The following is a 21,946-nucleotide window of genomic DNA, read 5'->3' as shown; positions in this document are numbered from 1 at the left end:
TTAACTCTGTAAAGACTGAATGTATTGCTAAGGGCTTGAATAAATTTGCAACCAAAACCGGGGGGAATTTTTTTATTTTACATAGCTTTATGTTTTGTGGCTGTTACATGTGGATGTATACATTAAGCTGGTATAAAATATTATATGTTTATAATTTCTTAAATGATAAGAAGGATACCCTGATCAGGGCAGGCTGCAAATATAGACGGATATTCATGAGACACAACTTCCTTGCTTTTTGCAGCCAGTGGGCCAGATGAAATTTAAACACATGAATATTATCAACAGAACAAGTCCCCATACTTAATGATTTGTGCTGTGATTTTTACTTATTGGAACCTCTGGGGGAAAAGTAGACAACATAAAAAGGCCATTTCTCGATGGAGATATGCTTTTGTAATTTTTAAATGCAACTTTTGGTTGCTAATGAGGCCTCAGGAAATCAGATATAACCCTTACTAGATGATTCTTTTCAGCTGTAATATACATATTAAAATATATATTTAACATAATACAACATATAAACATAATATATAAATTAAAAAATAATTATATATATATATATAGAGAGAGAGAGAGAGACAGACAGACAGACAGATAGAAAGATTCCACCCACCCCCAAGACAGGATTTCACTCTGTCACCCAGGCTGGAGCCCAGGCTGGAGTGCAGTGGCTTGATCTCCGCTCACTGCAACCTCTGCATCCCTGGCTCAAGCAATCCTCCCACCTCAGCCTCCCAGGTAGCTGGGACCACAGGCACACACCACTATGCCCAGCTAATTTTCGTATTTTTTGTAGAGAGAGGGTTTCGCTATGTTGCCCAAGTTGGTCTCAAACTCCTGAGCTCAAGCAATCCACCCGCCTGAGCCTCCCAAAGTGCTACGATTACAGCCTGGCCTGATACATATTTTTGAATGGATTAATGTGAACTCTAAAACTGATGTGATTATAAGAGCTTGGGAAAACCTTGCTTTTTCACTGTGACTTTGACAACTGGCCCTGCAGCATCTCAGTTTTAGCCAAAGAACACCACCATAAACCAATCAGATCTAATAGACATATACAGAACATTTCACCAAAAAGAGCAGAATACACGTTCTTCTCAAGTATACCACAGGACACTCTCTTAGACTGACCAGACCATATGTTAGGCCACAAAGTCTCAAATTTAAACAGACGAAAATCATACAAGTTACCTTCTCCAACCAAAAGGAAATGATGAGAAATTAATAACAAAAGGAAAAGTGGAAAATTCACAAGTATATGAAAATTAAACAACACATGGTAAACAATCAGTGGGTCAAAGAAGAAATCACAAGGGAAATTAGAAAATACTATGAGATGAATGAAAACACAACACACCAAAACTTCTGTGCTGGGCCAAAAGCAGGGCTAAAAGGGGCAATTATACTATAAAAGTCTGCATTTACAAAAGATGATCTCAAATCAATAACTCTACATCTGGAAGAACTAAAAAAATAAGAACACAATAAAAACCAAAGTTAGGCCAGGTGTCGTGCCTCACACCTGTAATCCCAGCACTTTGGGAGGCTGAGGCAGGTAGATAACTTGAGCCCAGGAGGTTGAGGCTGCAGTGAGCCATGAGTGCGCCACTGTACTTGGGCCTGAGGGACAAAGTAAGACCCTGTCTCAAAACAAAGACAAAAACAAAAACAAAAAAATACAAAGCAGAAAGAAGGAAACGATAGAGATTAGAGCAGCCATAAATTAAATAGAGAATAGAAAAATAATCTACAAAACCAAAAGTTCGGTTTCTGGCAAGAACAAAAAATCTGACAAACTTTTGGTAAATTAAGAAAAAAAGAGGCCAGTCAAGGTGGCTCACGCCTCTAATCCCAGCACTTTGGGAAGCTGAGGTGGGCGGATCACAAGGTCAAGAGATTTAGGTCATCCTGGTCAACATGGTGAAACCCCATCTCCACTAAAAATACAAAAAAAATTAGCCAGGCCTGGCGGCAGGCGCCTGTAGTCCCAGCTTACTTGGGAGGCTGAGGCAGGAGAATCACTTGAATCCAGGAGGCGGAGGTTGCAGTGAGCCAAGACTGTGTCACTGCACTCTGGCCTGGCAACAGAGTGAGACTCCATCTCAAAAAAAAAAAAAAAAAAAAAGAAAAAAAAAGAGAAAAGATGCAAATAACTAACATCAGAAATGTAAGTGGAGACAGTACTACCAACATAAAAATAAAAAAGATTATAAAAGAACACTGTGAACAACTGTATGCCAACAAATAAAATAGCCTAGATAAAATGGACACATTCCTAGAAACATAAATTACCCAAACTGACTCAAGAAGAAATAGAAAATCTGAATAGAGCCATAACAAGTAAAGAGATTGAATCGGTAATTAAAAATCTTTCAGGCCAGGCGCCGTGGCTCACGCCTGTAATCCCAGCACTTTGGGAGGCCGAGGCGGGTGGATCACGAGGTCAGGAAATCGAGAGCATCCTGGCTAACACAGTGAAACCCCGTCTCTACTAAAAATACAAAAAATTAGCCGGGCGTGGTGGCTGGCGACTATAATCCCAGCTACTCAGGAGGCTAAGGAAGGAGAATGGCGTGAACCCGGGAGGCGGAGCTTGCAGTGGGCCGAGATCATGCCACTGCAGTCCAGCCCGGGCAACAGTGTGAGACTCCGTCTCAAAGAAAAAAAAAAAAAAATCTTTCAACAAAGAAAAGCTTAGGTGGTCAACTCTACCAAACATTTAAAGCTGAACTGACACCAATCCTCAAACTCTTCTAAAAACAGAATATATGGGAACACTACCTAGTTCATTCTATGAGGCCATTATTACCCTGATAACTGTAAAACAATAAAATATTGCTGAAAGAAATTAAAGAGGACAGAAATAAATGGAAAGACATTCCACATTCAGAGAATGGATGTTAACATTGTTAAAATGGCACTATTTCCCAAAACAATCTACAGATTCAATCCCTAGCAAAAATCCCAATGGTCTTTTTTTGCAGATATGGAAAAGCCAGCCTTGAAGTTCATGTGAAAATGCAAGGGACCCAAAGTAGCCAAAATCATCTTGAGAAAGAAAACACACTTCTCAATTTTAAAACAGTACAAAACTACAATGTTCAAAACAGGGCGGTACCTGCACAATTATCAACATATAGAATGTGATAATGTAATTGAGAGTCCAGAAATAAACCTAAATATCCACAGCCAACTGATTTTTGCCAAGGGTACCCAGAACTTCAGGGAAAGAACAGTCCTCAACAAGTGGTATTGAAACAATCAGATCAACAAAAGAAAAAGGCTGGACTCTTACCTCACACTGTGTAAAAGAAATTACCTAAAAATGGACCAAAGATCTAAATATAAGAGCTGAAACTATAAAACTTACAGAAGAAAACATGAGGATAATCTTCATCAACCTTGTGTTTGGAAATGGCTTTTTGGATATGATATCAAAAGCATAGACGACAAAAGAGAAACAGATAAATTGAACTTCATCAAAATAAAAAACTTCTCTATCTAAGGGAATACAATCCAGAGAACAGGAGAAAATACCCTCAAATGATATACCTGATAAAGGTCTACAGATCTGTGAAGGTCTAGTATACACGAACTTTTTAAAGAGTCTGAGGACTGGTGTTAATTCTTCTTTAAAGGTTTGATACACTTATATAGTGCATTTATTGGTACAACAAGATGACGACAAATAACCCTATTTAAAAAGGAGAAAGGGGCTGGGCGCAGTGGCTCACGCCTGTTATCCCAGCACTCTGGGAGGCCAGGGCAGGCAGATCACCTGAGGTCAGGAGTTCCAGACCAGCCTGGCCAACATGGCGAAATCCCATCTCTACTAAAAATACAAAAGTTAGCCAGGTGTGGTGGTGTGTGACTGTAATCCCAGCTACTTGGGAGGCTGAGGCACAAGAAGTGCTTGAACCCGGGAGGCGGAGGTTGCAGTGAGCCGAGATCGTGCCACTGCGCTCCAGCTTGGGCGACAGAGTGAGACTCCGTCTCAAAAAAATAAAATAAAAAATAAAGAGAAAGGGACTTGAATAGACACTTCTCCAAAGAAGATATACAAATGGCCAACAAGCACAAACATGTAAAGAAGCTCAATGTCATTCATCATTAGTGAAATGCAAACCAAAATCACAATGAGATACCACTTCACACCCGCTAGGATGGCCTTAATCCAAAAAAAAAAAGAAAACCACAAAAAATAGTGTTGGCAGGGAAGCAGAGAAACTGGAACCCTGGAATCCTGCCCACTGGTGATGGGAATGTAAAAATGATATGGCACTGTGGAAAACTTTGGTAGTTTCTCAGTAAGTTACACATAGTTGTACCATATGACCCTGTAATTCCAGTCCTAGGTGTATAATCAAAAGAACTAGAAACAAGTGTTCAAACAAGTACTTGTATATAAATGTTCCTAGCAGCACTATTCACAAAAGTCAAAAGGCAAAACCAACCCAAATGTCCATCAACAGATAAATGAGTAAACAAAATGTTATATATTCATACAATGAAATCTTTTTCAGCCATAAAAATAAAGTACTGATATATACCAAATGAAATAACCCAGACACAAAGGCCACAAATGGTATGATTCCATTTATATGAAATATCCGGGATATGCAAATCCATAGACAGAGAAAGCAGATTTGTGACTACCAGGGGCTGGAGAGCAGGGGAGTCAGGACTGATGGCTAAATGGGGTGCATTTATAGTGATGAAAAAGTTCTACAACTAGACAGTGGTGATGACTCTAGAAAATTGTGAATGTATTTAATACCGCTGAATTGCGACGTTAAAATGCTACACTTTCTGCTATTTGTGTCTTACCATAATTTACAAAAAGCTTTTTTTAAAAAAAAGAAAGAAAATAAATCAAAGCAAAATCTTGACGTTTTCCCAAAGGCTCTCAAGCCAGTGCAGACCTACCAATCAGGCGCAGTGCCGTCTGAGCGAGGGCCAGCGTGCCGGAATTGAGCAGGAGGTCAAGGTTGTTTGCGCTGTGCTGCAGGGTGAGCATGCTGAGCATCACCAGGAGGAAGTGGGCTTGCGGGATGGTCCCCAGGCTCGGTCCCGATGGGTTCTCATTGGTGATGGTTTGCAGGGGAACCGGCTGGATACCTAATGAGCATTGGCACCCACTGACATTTCTTGTAATGGATACAAGAATAAATGTAATGCAGAAAGCACGGGCAATTACTCTAAACATCTGACTAATAAGCACTGACACCCACTGACATTTCTTGTGCGTGGATACAAGAATAAACGTAACGCAGAAAGCATGGGCAATTACTCTAATCATCTGACTATTTTGACACCCACTGACATTTCTCTCGCATGGATACAAGCATAAACGTAATGCAGAAGGCACGGGCGATTACTCTAAACATCTGACTATTTTTCAGTGGTTTCCACAGAGTGGGCAGCTCTGTCATGCTGCACGATGGGCCTACCCCCTGCATTCTATGCACAGGTCGTTCCATCTGTCTACAGGACTTAGTATGCTGCTCTCTGAATACACCGGTGCCCTATTCCATTCCTTCCATTTCAAATATAAAAGTTATGTCTCACTTTTCCTCCACAAAACCAATCCAATCAACTCTCTGTAGATGCTCAAACTATCCAGGAAATAAATATCAATATAGGACACAGACACTTTAGGATATGTGGTGATACACATAAAAATGTCAAAATGTAAAAATGTTATACTAGAGTACTTCAACATTGTGTCTCCTGCTAAATTTTAAAGTTTTGTTTAAAATCTGAGAAAGCTGACAGCAGCATAGATTATACAAGTACAAAGTACAAACTTATTAAAGTCTTCTCAAAAGCAAAAATTGGCATTTGCAAGTTTCCACAACATATAATTAAAGGCAAACTATAAAATAACATTGATACAATTATTGACTCACCAAGCTCTTTAAATTTGGCACTGGCATCCACCAAAACATTTCGAATGTTCTGAACAGCCCAAGCGTACAGCTTGCCAAAGGTGACTTCCAGCAGCATCCGATTAAAAGGCGGGATCAAATCAACATCCTTTAAACAATCAGTAAGAGGTTCCCTTTCAAATAAAGATAAAGAATTTGACTCGGGACACTGCCAGACTTCTAACTGTTACAGAAAAACATTCTGTTGCCACAGCTTCCTTAATTAAGAAAAAAATATGCTAACGTTTTACCCTATATCGATTCCCTCAGGAATAAGTCTTTGCCATCCACAAAACATCGCATACGGCACAGATGGAAGTAAGAAATTCTTGCTCACCAGATACAATTTTAAAATTGTATCTATCCCTTCCAGGCGAACCTCTGCTCTCTCCAACTGCAAAATATCAATGCATACAGTTAAGTGTTATGTATATTACCCAATGCAGAGAAGCATTTCTCATCAAATGTTACCTGTTTTAGTAGGCACTTTCTCTTTTCCACATCCACTGGCTCTTCTTTAAGGGCAAATTCAGCAATTGTACTGAGGAGTGGAGACTGCGGATAAAGACCCTGCACATTCTGCTTCAACCACTTGTATTTGTGAACATCTGTAACAGTACTCAACAGCGGCTGCCATTTGTCCTAACAAAGGAAAACAATTTTCATCATTAGTCTACCCTATTTAATAATAAACTGTGCTCTAAAAGTTATTCAAGTAAAATATAAATAATGCTTATGGGTTTAAATTGGTTAAAATACGTTAAATTTAGTAATACATGTTTTTAAAACTATGCTATAAATATAAGTGAATTTATAATCTCTATACTATATGTTGGAACAGGCTAGCTTGGCATACTAAGTTAAGTTATGGTTCATATTAACAGCCACAGGGCCCAGCACTGTTTCTGGAACAAAGAATATATTTAAGGAATGAATGGTGAATAATTAATGATACAATCTAATACCAAAAATAAAAGGAAACCCTTCTCCAGCTACAGCTCTGACCAGGACATCATAAGTCAAGTTCATGAAGCATCACTGGGGCCGTATTTCTAACAACCGCCCGTCCCTCCCTCCAGATGCTCAGGTACAGAGGTACAAGACTGTGGATTCCTGTGCTACATGCTACGATTCTATTCAGCCAACCTCAGAATCACAGAAAATACCGCACCTTGGGTGATTTAATTGCAATGGGTCTCTTGTCCACATTTATTGGACTATGAGGCAAAATGCAAGCTTCTTCTAAATCACTCTCTTCGTTTCCAATTTTTTCTTCATCATCCGTAGATTCTGGCTTCTTAGGAACTGTGTTTTAAAACATCATTCACTATAAAAATCATACACTTAAATATTAATTTTAAATTAAGACATATTTAGATTTACATGAAGGACAAATATTTCATTCAAATAAACATCTGAACAACATTATAAATTGCAATGCTCAACAACAAGAGTGAAATGATCACCCTGGCAGAACAAAAAGACAAAGTGAGAGTGCGACGAGGGGAGAAGCCCCGAAGCAGGGGAAGCCCGGCAGCCAGCAAGCTCTTCCTCAAGTGCCAGAGAGTGAACATTTGAGTCTTTCAGGCCATGCTGTCTGTCGCAAATACTCAACTCTGCTGCTGTAGCACAAAAAGTAACCACAGATAAAGCAACAGGTGTGGCTGTGCTCCTGTAAAACTTTATTTATGGTGCTACAATTTTAGCTTCATGTAATTTTCATGTGCCAAAATAATATACTTCTTTTAATTTTTAAATAACAATTTCAAACTGGAAAAAAAAAAAAAGGTCTTAGTCCATGGGCAACCCAAAGCCAGCAAGAGGTAGAATTTGGCCCATAGTTCCTGGCTTGTCCACCCTGGTCCAGTTCAGTGGTTCTGTTACTGTGTAACTGAATCAACTGAATTCACTGTGATATGTGGAATTTCCTCCCTATACTTTATCTCTTTTAAAATTTTTGGTCTAAATCTCCTCAGCATATAATATAAAAAATAAGCAACATGATAATACATCTGGGCAGTAAAGAGCTAACATAGCAGGCCGGGGTTGCTCAAACCCTGCAAATTCCCAAGGAAGGTCTGTCCCTTCAGGATTGGTCCTTCTTCTAGGAGCTGAGCTCTGAGCCCTTGGAACATCCTGCCTGAGAAGTTTTTTGGTATACCTGACACCCAGGACCTTGTGGCAGTGGTCTGGCCAGGTAGTTTATGCTAATGATGGGACTTGCGAGGGACCACTTGTTTTTGCACTGGGGCACTGGAGCCTGAGTGAGGTCAGTCACAGGGGCACTGCCTGCGTATGTGACTGGCCCCCAACAAAATCTCTAGACTCGAGGCTCAGGTGCGCTGGCCTGGTTAACAATTCTTCACACATGATGTGACACTGTTGCTGGGAGAGCTAAGCACATCCACGTGACGCCACTGGGGAGAGACACCAAAGCGTGTGCCTAGTTTCCTCTGGACTTCCCTCCATGCACCCTTCCCTCTGCTAATTTTAATCTGTATCCTTTTTGCAGTAAAAACACAGCTGTGACTATAACAGCTCTTCTGAGTCCTTTTAGTGAATCAAGCCTGAGAGAAGGCTCGGGGATCCCTGACACAGCAACAGGAATATTAATCACTTAATCTTTTCAAGTTACTTACTTTCCAAAAAAAAAAGAAAACCAGCTTGAAACACCACACGATAAATCTATAAACCCACAAGAAACTCTAAAAGTGACAGTGTGGGCTCAGAACCCACGGATATGAGATGGCAAATGTGGAGTCTCTCTCCCTCATTCCGAGGCAGCCTGTCTCCTGGGCCCAGGCTGAGTTCCTGCATGCCTGGGTTAAAGGAATCGCAGCAGTGTGACTGCTGTGACTTCCTGATCCAGAGCACCCCTCGCATTCAGACAGGCTGTTATGGTGTAGGGTTTGTTCAGGAACAATCAAATTAGGATGGCTTCTAACACACTTTAGTCTTTCATAAGCTTATTGTTCAAAATGCCCATCAGAAAGTCAGTAATCAATACTGTTCAATAAGCAGGTTTGTGAGTAAATCAGTATAAGTCATAATATGATCAGAGGCCAGGCGCGGTGGCTCACGCCCGTAATCCCAGCACTTTGGGAGGCCGAGGCAGGCAGATCACGAGGTCAGGAGATCAAGACCATCTTGGCCAACATGGTGAAACTCCGTCTCTACTAAAATATAAAAATTAGCCAGGAGTGGTGGCGCGTGCCTGTAATCCCAGCTACTTGGAAGGCTGAGGCAGGGGAATCGTTTGAACCTGGGAGGCGGAGGTTGCAGTGAGCTGAGATCGCACCACTGCACTCCAGCCTGGCAACAGACCAAGACTCCATCTCAAAGAAAAAAAAAAAAGGATATAATCAGAAATTTCTGTAGTTTATTTATAATCACAAGTGACTAAATTCTAAACTATTTTATAATTTCTAAGCATTTTTATTCAAATTTGGATTTAATGCAAAAAGACTTTTCTGTACCCTTACACAGCTACTTCCAGGAAAATGTCAGTAACTCTTTTAGCTTCCCTTTATAGTTCTTCATGTATCAGAATACTCAATATTTCCAAACAAAAAACATTTCTTTAGAAGAATGGCAATAAGTTTAAATGTTCCCATTATATCTCATTACCAGGATAACTAATAAAAGTACTTCCTTGTTCCCATCAATTTAGCAAAGATTATTTACGTTTTCAACATCAATTTACTAGTAATCAAATCATACCACACTCAATTCCTAAACTGCCTCATTGTCTGATCATTTGGAAAAATAAGCGAGATGTCTGTATTTAATCCTAACTATAATAAAAATGATGGCAGCAGGTAGAAATGTTACATGGAATCAACAGTAGAGAAACTTCACTCTGAAATCACAGATCCAACGTGGCAGGGTGAAGCACAAGCTTTAATAGTATCTTCTGTCCTTTTACATTCTTACCTCTCTTTTTCCTTGGTTCTCGAATTATCTTCTGAGCTATCCTCCTCCAATGGGGCAAAGAACTTAACAATTTAAACTTAGACATTATAGAGAGGTCATTACAAACAGCAGGTCTCAATTCATTAAAGAGGAATCTCAAACGTTTGATGACAGGAGCGCAGACCTCCTTGTAAGAACGGCCCTGTTCTTGATGAGTCTGCAAAGTTAACCAGGAAAAGACAACTTTAACAACAAATATTTCAGCAACTGTCTGCAAAGCACAGAATAAAAAGAATTAAAATCTATCACCTTAATGAGCGAACATTTTGCTTGGTAGACAACTCTACAAACATCCACCACTGACTTAGGCAACGTTCTGTGCTTTACTTGCTCAATATCAAGTGCACCTGCATGAACTAAAGATAATGCCACATGACCTGTAAAAAGACATTTAAAAGAAGGGCAGTGAAGGAATGAATACGTACCACAGGTTAGTCGAGGAATCTGCAGTGTAGCTAAAGTACAAAGATATTGAGCTCCTTACCTAAATCTTCATGTTTTAAGAGGCAACATAACAGCAAGCGACCGACCTCTTCCACGGGATGCTCGGGGGGAAACATGATCGGTGTGGTCAAATGGCACTGCCTACAGTACCTTTCTATTTGACACAAAAAGTCCTGCAACAGGAACAGCTGGAAGTAACTTCAGGGAAACCCAGTGAGTCTTCACAAATCTTAAACATGCCACAGCTTCTGACGCACTTGCAATCACTAATGCTTCTGAAGCCTCGCTAGCATGTTAACACAATCAGGTTCTCACCTCAAAACCCTCCAAATAATACATGAAACAAAGTCTGTGCTGTGTTAACCAAAGAGCACATAAGTATTCCTATGTCAAAGTCCTCAGATAAACAGAGCACTGAGGTGGCAGTGGGGGCAGGCCTAGCTCACCTTCACGTTGTGATCCTGAATGTTGTTGTCTGCAATGGCTTGCAGAAATGCCTGGGAATGGTCCCCCAGGGCCCGTCTGTGGGAGCAGAGTCGAGATTTGCTGGCAGGTGTGCCCCCTGGGGAGCTGCAGTGGTCCTCGTCTTTCTCCTCGTTGTAGCTGTAGTGGATCTGGCTGGTCTGCAGGCCTCCAGAGAAGATGGATGACTGAAGCCATTCTAGAAAATGCACACACAAACATGAAAGAGAAACTCAAGTGCACAACTCAAAATAAATACTAAAAAAAAAAAAAGATGCTCAACTGAACACTCAATTTAGAAGGTGAAATTCAGCATCATTCATATGAAAGAGCTCCACCTAACATGTTTACACAGGTTGACTTATAATTCCTCTATCTACGTGAACACACTTTCTGGTGATTCCACACGCCTCAGGCATGGCATCAGAACTCAGGATCGTAGTTCCAGTCCAACATTCTCTGGATACCTGTGCTCTGCCTGCAGCTGCCTGGTTCCACAGGTACCGTGTGAAGACTGAGGTGCACATTCTAACAGGGAAGGCAGCAAAGGGCACCGCTGACACAATTAATCACAGGATTTCAAGTCCGAAACTGTGCAACAGATGACTATGGGGGTACCAGGGAGACTGGAAGACAGACCACCGCTATTCTGAGGGTCAGTGAGGGACTTGTGGAAGCAACAACTGAGCTAAGATGAGGAATAAGACCCAGACGCTGAGTATCCAGGCAGGGAATAGCACATCTGAAGGGTTTCTACAAAGAATTACATCCTCAGGGTAGGCTATGTATTCCTAGAGCACTTATAAAGGAATGAAAAGGAGAAAATATTTAAGAAACACACAATCTGTAATGAAGGATAGATCCTTGGAGATGGGAGGGCCGATGGACTGGAAAGGAGACCTGTGCGTGGTGCAAGGCATGGGATCAACCAGTGCGAATGTTAATTACAACTGCTTATGGCAACTTGAGGGAGTGCACCACTACAGATCTCTATTAACGATCTGTGTTATCAAATACTGCTCCAAATCCAAGCAATCAAAGCGGGATGCACTTAGTGTTCTTTTACTGGACATTTAGATTTTAGAGCACTCAGGAGCATTCCCCAACACACCACATTCGTTCTTCTGAAACACTAATCCAATGCCGACTCTCTCTGGCCCCCTCTCTTTAAGCACAGGACAGCCCCTCCTTACTGCTCCAAGATAAGCCTCTGATCCTCCTGTGGATCGGACCCACCTGCCAGGGCCCATGGCACCCTCTGCCCTGGAGCTCGCCAGCCCTGCCCTCCTTGCCAATTTAAACAAAGCCCATCTTCTGGCAAGCAATGAGCCTTGAGGAGGAGGGAAGGAAGCAGACACCTCAGAGGGCACCACAGGCAGCCCAGCACCTAGCACTGCACAAAGGTCCGCCCAACGGGGGGCTGTATGGACACCAAGATCCTCCTTCCCTGCAAGCCTCTGCCACACCCACTCCTGCAAGCAGCAGGAAAGCCCTGCTCCTCTCAGCAGTGCCCTTGACACTCCTGTGTTTTCTGCCCAGAATGCTCTCTCACGCAATTTCAGGACTGCTGCCAATGTGAAGCCTTTCTTCTCCCAGAACCATGTATGAACATCTCCATTTCACCATTCACCACCTTGTAATGTGACCTGCTTAGAATGGTGGCTCATCAACAAGCAGCAGCTGAAAGCAGAGGCGTGTCCTACCCATCACTGCATCCTGAACACCTCGCATGGTAACGGCACCAGAAAGCAGAGGTGTGTCCTATCTATCACTGTATCCTGAACACCTCGTATGGTAACGGCACCAGGCAAATGCTCAACAGAAGCTGCTCACATGGATGGACAGACAGACAGATGGGAAATGCACAACTACATGAAGGAAAATGGAAACACATCTTAGGAGACAGAAAGAAGCTTATTATTTTAGGTGGTTACAAAGGCTGCCATCCTGAAATATAACTGACTTGAGCCTGGTCTGGTAAAAACGCAGTGCTCAAATAGTATGCTCTTCCCTGAGAGGACAGCTGATCCACATTCTGTGCAATTTCTGGGCATGCAGGGAGACAAAAGCCATGCTGGGCCCATCAGGCAGAGGCTGCAATACGTGAGACCACCAAGGGCAGACGGGTAGACATTCCTGCACACTTTTTAGCTTCCTCTGCAGCAACAGACCATGAGGGCAAATGACAACCACTCACAGCTGTTTCTACCTGATTGAGTCTCACTATCCTTATTATTTTTTTTTTTGTCATCATCAACTGTGTTGAATCCTCCTCTCCTTTTTTTTTTTTGAGACCGAGTCTCGCTCTTGTCACCCAGGCTGGAGTGCAGTGGCGTGATCTCAGCTCACTGCAACCTCCGTCTCCTGGGTTCAAGCAATTCTCCTACCTCAGCCTCCCGAGTACCTAGGATTACAGGCACCCGTCACCACACCCAGCTAATTTTTGCATTTTTAGTAGACATGGGGTTTCACCACATTGGCCAGGCTGGTCTTGAACTCCTGACCTCAGGTGATCCACCCGCCTCAGCCTCCCAAAGTGCTGGGATTACAGGCATGAGCCACTGCCTGGCCATCTCCTGCTTTTTTAAAGAGAGAGTCTTGCTCTGTCACCCAGGCTGGAGTGCAGTGGTATGATCATGACTCACTGCAGCCTCAACCTCCCAGGCTCAAGCAATCCTCCTACCTCAGCCTCCTGAGTATCTGGGACTACAAATACGTGCCAACATGCCTGGCTAATTTTTGTGTTTTTTGTAGAGATGGGGTTTTGCCATGTTGCCCAGGCTGGTCTCAAAATCTTGATCTCAAGCAATCCACGTGCCACAACCTCCCAAAGTGCTGGGATTACAGGCATGAACCACTGTGCCTGGCCCTCTCCCACTCTTAATGGCACTTACAGTTCAAAAAAAAAAAAATCTGCTGATTAGCAAAAAGTAAAGATTTTCTTACTGGCACATTCAATCTCGACAGGAGACAGCGGTGTGCTCATTGCTAAATAGGAAGCGTGTAATCCGAGAAGCAGGCCCAGATTCCTCTCTGTGTCTATCAGAGGTGAGGAGAGACTCCCCAGATCTGGTATGGTGACGCCTTCTTGGTCAGGCTGGAAAAATAAATTTAATCATCAATCTGAGGAAACAGAATTAATTAAAAACATAAAACCAAAAGGACAGCTCTCTCCTGCAGCTGTACCGCACGTGAGCCCAGGGGTGCTCTGGGCGTTCTGCCCCTCCATCCTGTAATGAGTTGGTGCTGCTGTGCCCAAGTAACAGCAGATACCATATAAACCCACATGCCCTATAAAGCAGGCAGCAACCGCACAGCCCTACTGTAGAAAAACTAAACCACAGATACATGATTTGGCTAGAATATTCCTTAGGAATCAGTTTCCAAAGTGACTGTACACCATGCTTCAGAAAGTATAATGAATTGTTACATGCATAAAGAACCCACTGGGCAACAAAACTATGACAAGTATTCGATGACAAGTATTAGTGGACTGTGACCACACATGTAGAGGAAATGAAATTTATTCTAACAAAAATCAAACTCTGAAAAAAGCAAGAGTTCAACTTTTTCAGTCACAGAAGATATTTACAGCAAAGTTAATTCTCCCCTTCATAAACTGTTTTAAGCCCTGCCCTAATGGCATTTAATACATCTTATTACTTGTCGATACCTAGTAAGCTAATCCCAATATATAAATTCTATGTGTTCGTGAATACATAGGAAGGACATATTTCTATTGTAAAGAATTACACTTCTACATAGTTCTTCCCAAAAAATACATACCTCAAGATTATAAGCCATTCCAAATTTCTACATAAGACCAAAGTTTAACCTCTTTTCTTGTGGAACACTGCCTATATTTCTCACAAATTGATCATTTAAAAAACAATCTTTCAAGACCAGTACATCACAGATCTTAACATGAATAAATGTAAATTCATTTATGACAAAACTTCTAAAGGATCTTTATATTTATCCCTAATGCCCCGCAAAAGACCCAGATATCAGTACTTCTAGATCCAAATATTCCTATCACAAACACACAGAGGGTATCCCCTGCCATCCTCTGCATCACTCAAGGCATACAGCCTCACCTCCAAATACTGGCCAACACAAAATGCGTGCATGGATTCCCGGGTGTCTTCAAACTGCAAAGCAGCTTCCAAAGCTACCACTGGGTCTTCCCCTGCAAACTGAGCTGAAACAAAAAGGGAAAAAGCAACATGAGTTCAATTCAGCTTGCCTGAAGAGCTACAGGAGAAATAGTGAGTAGGAAATAAGTTAGGCTCTTAACTCAAAAGTGAGGGTTACCAGAATATAATGACCTCCCACTGTCTCCCAGGGTTGCCTGGGCCAACTCGGAACTTGAAATGAGTTCCAAGTATTAAAACAAAAGATACATAATGAAAGGAAATTCTTCGAATGTGCTGAATTTGTTGATAAGACAGACACCAAAGCCACAGATACATTAAAATATGCGGGGGCTGGCACAAAACTAAAGGAATCATTTATAAGCCAAATACTCTGCTTAAAATGATACAGGCTGTAACTTTTAACCAGGAAATAACAAGTGTAATCTTACCAAGAATACTATTTTCTGTTAACGACTGTGTCTGGAAGTCCTTTATATCATACACTTTCCCGTCAATCACAGTCCAGAAGCCTCCATCGTTATTATGGTTCTCCAAATCAGCTATGCGTACAAATGTCACTTTCTCATTATTTCTACAGTTCTGACCTGTAAAAAATGACTCTGTATATACAGAAACCAGAATCAGTCCATTGATCAATCAACAGGTAAAATGAAAAGAACAAACTGTGTGAAAGAACTACAAGCAGAAATAAACAAATCCACAATCACAATGGGAGAAATACATACCTAGCTCTGAAACTAATACCACACATACAAATTCTGTTAAATATAGAATGCTTTAAAAAAAAGTCTAGGCAGCATGAATACCAAATCGGGCCATGCCAGGCCATAGAGTAAATCTCAACAGATTTCAAAGAAATAAACTTACAGAGCATGTGTGCTGACTACAATGCAGTTAAATTACAAATAGGTTTTCAAAAATTCATTCAAAATAAAATAAAAATGACTCTGTATACACAGAAAATAAAAATATTCATCCACATATTTGAAAATTACAAGATACACTTATAAGTAACCCAAAATTCTAAGAAAAAATGACTATGAAAATTAGAAAATGTGTTCAGTTAATAATCAAAATACTGCAGATCGAAATTGGTGACATACAACTAAATGCATGCTTGAGGGCATTTATGCCTTTAAATGTATATATTTACACATTAAAGGGGGAAAAAGCTAAAAAAGAAAAGAAACACCAAATCAATAAAAGTCTGTTAGTTCATAAAAATACTCAAAAAAAAGAAAACCTGAGTGGTGGTCACCTATGCAAGTGCTAGGATACCAACTCAATATTATGAAAAATAGTTAAAGGGAGGTGGCAGTTCAAGAAGTCAAGCTTAGATTATGTCCTTGCTGTACAAATTGTACCTCCTGCTAACCAGACAGCAGAGGGCAAGGTTGGTAGGGGATTTTATAGAGGATACGCAACACATGAATTCCCTGGTCTAGCTTCACAGAACTAAAGCGGGGAGCCACCGAGCATTACAGGCCTCCTGAGCCAACAGAAAGCATGCAGCATGACCCCAGACATAACACCGCCCCAACGAGACTGAATTCAAATCCAACCAAACCTCTAGATCTAACCAGCAGATTAATGTAACTAACAGAAGAACATGTTGGTCTAGAATAAGAGAATGCAATCAACCAAGTTCAGAAAATGTGAAGTTCTCCAAAATAACCAACCTGCTTCTTTGAAAAAGAAAACGGTATGATCAGAGACAGGGAGAAGAGGGCCTGGAGCCATGTTGTTTGGGGAAAGAGACTAGAAGCATATGTCAAGCAATGCCAATACGCAGAACATGCTCAGGTCTTAATTCAAAATTACCACCTAAAAAAGGCATTTTTGAGATAGTCCAGGAAAATGTAACATGGACTGCATGTTAGATTAAGGAATCACTGTTAATCTTATAGACAGGATAATGATATTGTAGGGTTTTTTTAAAATCCTTATCATTAAGAGGTAAAATACCTTAAAATGTTTTAAAGACAGAGTTATGCTTTAAAATAATCCAATCAGCCGGGCGCGGTGGCTCATGCCTATAATCCCAGCACTTTGGGAGGCCGAGGCGGGCAGATCATGAAGTCAGGAGATCGAGACCATCCTGGCTAACACAGTGAAACCCCATCTCGTACCATGCCATATTACTGCATTTAACAGGTATGATGAAGCAACTGAACAGGCTATTTTTCCATTTCCATTGCATTTCAACAGAGCCCATTAAAAAGTAGTATAAATGGCCCTTAAATACTAATATATTTTAAAATGCTCAAACTATATCGGGGTCACCACTTTGTGCTTTAGCAGGCAAAATCCCAAAAGCCCACACACAAGGCTGGGAGACCAGCATCCCTATTGGTGGTGAGAGAAATCAAGATGTACAGGAGCAATCTGGTGACAACCAGCCCACACGAGGTCCATCCCCACCTGTGCATGTGCACAGGCACACACGCGTGCACACATGGAGGACACGTGTTCCAGGCCAGGCCTTGCAGTACTATTTGTGTTTTCTGTTGTTGTTGTTTGAGATGGAGTTTCACTCTTGTTGCCCAGCCTGGAGTGCAGTGGCGCGATCTCGGCTCACTGCAACCTCTGCCTCCCAGGTTCAAGCGATTCTCCTGCCTCAGCCTCCCAAGTAGCTGGGATTACAGGCACCCGTCACCACGCCCCGCTAATTTTTGTATTTTTTAGTAGAGACGGGGTTTCTCCAAGTTGGCCAGGCTGATCTCAAACTCCCAACCTCAGGTGATCCACCCACCTCGACCTCCCAAAGTGCTGGGATTACAGGCGTGAGCCACTACACCCGACCCTCAGCACTATTTGTATAGCAACATTGTGGCAATAAGCCCAAGTGTCCACCAATAAGAGACTCACTAAAGAAAGATAGATAAAAGACACATCCACACACTGAAGACTAAGCTGATTTATAAAAACAAAGAGGGACACTCTGATAAGGTACTCCAGTATATATGGTTAGTTAAAAAAAAAAACAAAAAACAAGCAACACAAGTAATGAAGCATGCTACCACGAACGTACTCATGCCAGAGAACAAGGAGGTTACAGAGGAGACTGGAAAGTCAGAGGGAGCAGGTGGGAAAATGGGTGGAAGGGGTGGGCAGGGGAAGCGACAGTGTGTCTCTGCCTAGGTTTGATTTTTGAACCATGTGACTGTATTTTTTTTTTTTAATGACTGTAAAACAAAATAAATACTCTTTATACTAGAAATAAAATGTTAGAAAAATCTGGATTCAAAACTAGGATTACTGTTCTGCACTGGCAAAGTTCACTACCATTCCCAAAGGCAGTTTTCTCATTGACATAATGAGATACAACAGCGTGCATGAGGTCCTCAGCGGGCCTGCACCCTACAGGTGCTCCACACATGCAAATCACTACCATTACTATTACATAAGAGATATAATACATAATTATACTGTCACTACTATAACCAGCATGACATACTAAGACAGCCTGCGTTCAGAGTATGAAGAAGGCTGTGGAACCCCCTGCAGAAGGTGGGAGGGCCTGGGGCTGTGGATAAAGGGGAGCTCTCTGGGGCTGTGCCACCTGAACCTGGAACCCGGGCCCCCAGGTTGGGTCGCCAGGCCTGTGCGCCTCAGCTTGCTCATCACTCACTCTCAACACGGATAACACCTTCAACTGCAAACACGTTTAAAAACCACAGGCCAGCTCCCCCTACCAATACCAGAAAAAACAAGTCTCCACACGGGCCCAGGATGAGAACCTACAAGTGGTACTAGCTACAAAACACATGGAGAACACGGTTCTTGCACACACCTTATGAGACGTCGGAGAGCTACACAGAGGAGGCATCTACAGGGTGTAGCCAGACGGTCTAAATGGGCCATGACAACAACCGCCGTTTGTTGCAGATCAATGGCAAGCCTGTTGTCTTGTGGAAGGGTGAGGTACCTCAGGAAACTCTCACTGGGGCTCAGAGGACCAGACAAAAGCTAGAAAGGAAAAGTAAACAAAAATTCAGAAATGGTGGGAAAAACTAAAGTAACACAGTTTTTTACCCAAGCTTTATATTTTGGTATTGACTCATTTGACCCATCAAATGACAATGTTGATGATACAGTTATACTATACGTCTATATATTTATGCAGCATATAAACTGTATAAATCTCTAAATCTGCTGTATACATGTACACAACATTGACTGTGCATGTATACATTTATGATACCATAGGTAAGTTGAATCCACACAGATTACTAACATGACCAAACCACTCTACAAGCCTAGGACCCCTGGAGAAAGGCAGAACCACCTCTGTGGGAACCCAGCACAGCATCTCAAGCTGGCCTTGAAATCTAAAACCAAAACCTTTATTTTAATCTAAATGTTGCCCACTCTGGAGAACACCTACTTTCATTTGCAAATTAAATCACAGTTCTAATTCTTCTAAAGGCAGAAGACCCCTATTATCATTAGTTTAAAGACTGCCAAATAATAGGCTGGGCATGGTGGCTCACACCTGTAATCCCAGCACTTTGGGAGGCCGAGGCAGGCAGATCACAAGGTTAGGACTTTGAGACCACCCTGGCCAACATGGTGAAACCTCATCTCTATTAAAAATATAAAACTGAGCTGGGCATGGTGGCGGGTACCTATAATCCCAGCTACTCGAGAGGCTCAGACAGGAGAATCATTCGAACTAGGGAGGCGGCAGTTGCAGTGAGCCGAGAACGTGCACTGCACTCCAGCCTGGGAAACAGGCAGAGACTCCGAAGACGGGAAGGGACGGGATGGGACGGGATAGGACAGGACGGGATGGGATAGGACAGGACGGGAAGGGAGAAAGAAAGCAATGTACCCGCAAAACAAACAAACAAACAAAAAAACAGTCTCGGGGACCTATGGGACTATAACAACTCCGGTCACTGAACTCACGAAGGGACAGGAGAAAGAAGGTGGGGCTGAAACTGTACTCCATGAAGTGATGGCTTACAAGTTCCCAAATTTGGCAAGAGACATAAATCTACAGATCTAACGTAAGCAAACCCTAAACAGGATGAACCCAAAGAAATCCAAACTAAGACATATAATAATCAAACTCCAAAAAACAAAAGACAAAACATTTCAAAAGCCACTAAACAAAAACAGTGCCTTAACTATCGTGGATTAACAAGTCAAATGACAGCGAATTTCTCATCAGAAACCATGGAGCCCAGCTGAAAGTACAAAATATTTTTCAAGCGATGAAAAGAACCATTAACCCAGAATTCTTATATCCAGCAAAAATGTCCTTCAGGAATGAAAAGGAAAGCAAAACATTCTCAGAGGAAGTGAAACAGAATTTGTCACCAGAAGACCCACACCAAAAGAAAGGCTAATGGAAGTTCTCTAAGCAGAATGGCAACCATCAAAGAAGAAAACCCTGGAACTTCTGGAAGGAGGAGATGACAAGCACACCAACGCATAAATACAATAGACTTTTCCCTCACCTCTTGACTTTGCTAAATTACGTCTGAAGGTTCAACCAAAAATTATAACATTGTCATATGTGGTTATCAATGTAAGTAAATGAAATATTTAAGGCAAGTATATTATGAACAGAAGAACATAAAGGAACATCAAGGGAGGTAGTTTCTATATCCCTGAAGCTGGTAAATGACAACATCAGGTAAAATCTGATAAGTGTTCATACATACACAGGCTGAGTGTCCCTTATAAAATGCTCAGGAGCACAAGTGTTCCAAATTTCAGATTTTTATCAGATTTAGGAATATCTGCATATAAATAATGAGATATTTTGGGGATAGGACCCAAGTCTAAATACATTCATTTATGTTTTATATATAACTTATACACAGAGCCTGAAGGTAATTTTATATAGCATGCTTAGTAATTTTGTGCATGAAACAAAGTTCATGCTAAGTACTTATGAATGGAATTTTCAATTTGGGGGCGTCATGCTGGAGTGCCATAAAGTTTCGAATTTTGGGGCATTTCAGATTTTGGATTTTGGGTTTACAGATGCTCAATCTGTATGCAATATATTACCTAGAAAAGCCACTAAAAAAGCTATACAAAAAGATACACTCTAAAACACTACAGATGAAATAGAATGCTAAAAATGGTCAAGTAAACCACAGAGAGCCAGGAAGAACCAAACCGAAAAAATGAAAAACAGAAGAAATAGAAAATGCAAAACAAAATGGCAGTGTTAAGCCTCAATTTATCAATGACATTAAATTAAATGTAAACAATCTAAATACATCAATTAAAAGACACTAGGAGAGTAGACTAGAGAACATGATCCAACTATATGTTGTCCATAAGAAAGTGACTTCAAACAGGCAAACTGAAAATAGAAGTATAGAAAAAAAAAGATCATGCAAACATTACTGAAAGGACAGCAGGAGTTGGCTATATTTATAACAAATAAAGTAAACTTCAGAACAAAGATAATTACCAGGAGGGCCGGGCACAGTGGCTCACGCCTGTACTCCTAGCACTTTGGGAGGCCAAGGTGGGTGGATCTCAGGAGTTTGAGACCAGCCTGGCCAATATGGCAAAACCCCATCTCTACTAAAAATACAAAAATTAGCTGGGTGTGATGGCAGAAGCCTATAATCCCAGCTTCTCAGGAGGCTGAGGCAGGAGAATCACTTGAACCTGGTAGGGTCGGAAGTTGCAGTGAGCTGAGATCATGCCACTTCACTCCTGCCTGGGCAAAAGGAGCGAAACTCCGTCTCAAAAAAAAAAAAAAGATAATTACCAGGAACCAACGGCAACATTACAAAATGAGAACTTGGTCAATCCACCATTAAGACACAGCAATTCGAAACGTGCAGACACCAAACAAACAAAAAAACAATGAATAGAACCGAAAGGAGAAAAAGACATTTATACTTTTATAGTTGGAGACCTCAAAATCTCTCTCTACAGCTGATAAAATTAGGAGACAGAAAAGCTGCCAGGATATAGAACGCAACATCACCATCCATCAACTAG

At 41.5% G+C, this 21,946-nt stretch overlaps 1 pseudogene across 1 annotated transcript in view; it reads right to left on the bottom strand.

The window, feature by feature from the left end:
- Positions 1-21,946, bottom strand: part of HERC2P2 (HERC2 pseudogene 2) — a 95,995-nt pseudogene that overhangs the window by 37,827 nt on the left and 36,222 nt on the right. The window contains exons 4-16 of the transcript NR_002824.3: positions 18,762-18,937; positions 15,397-15,567; positions 14,909-15,012; positions 13,758-13,908; positions 10,796-11,010; positions 10,390-10,522; positions 10,155-10,282; positions 9,867-10,062; positions 7,105-7,238; positions 6,405-6,575; positions 6,185-6,327; positions 5,916-6,067; positions 4,933-5,124 (exon numbers count right to left, since the gene is read on the bottom strand). The product of NR_002824.3 is annotated as an HERC2 pseudogene 2 (transcript). The remainder of the gene's footprint in view (positions 1-4,932; positions 5,125-5,915; positions 6,068-6,184; positions 6,328-6,404; positions 6,576-7,104; positions 7,239-9,866; positions 10,063-10,154; positions 10,283-10,389; positions 10,523-10,795; positions 11,011-13,757; positions 13,909-14,908; positions 15,013-15,396; positions 15,568-18,761; positions 18,938-21,946) is intronic.

This window comes from Homo sapiens, chromosome 15 (assembly GCF_000001405.40).
Source record: "Homo sapiens chromosome 15, GRCh38.p14 Primary Assembly".
Taxonomy (NCBI): Eukaryota; Metazoa; Chordata; class Mammalia; order Primates; family Hominidae; genus Homo; species Homo sapiens.
Note: the sequence above shows the minus strand (reverse complement) of the source record. Positions and strands in the feature narration are given on the sequence as shown.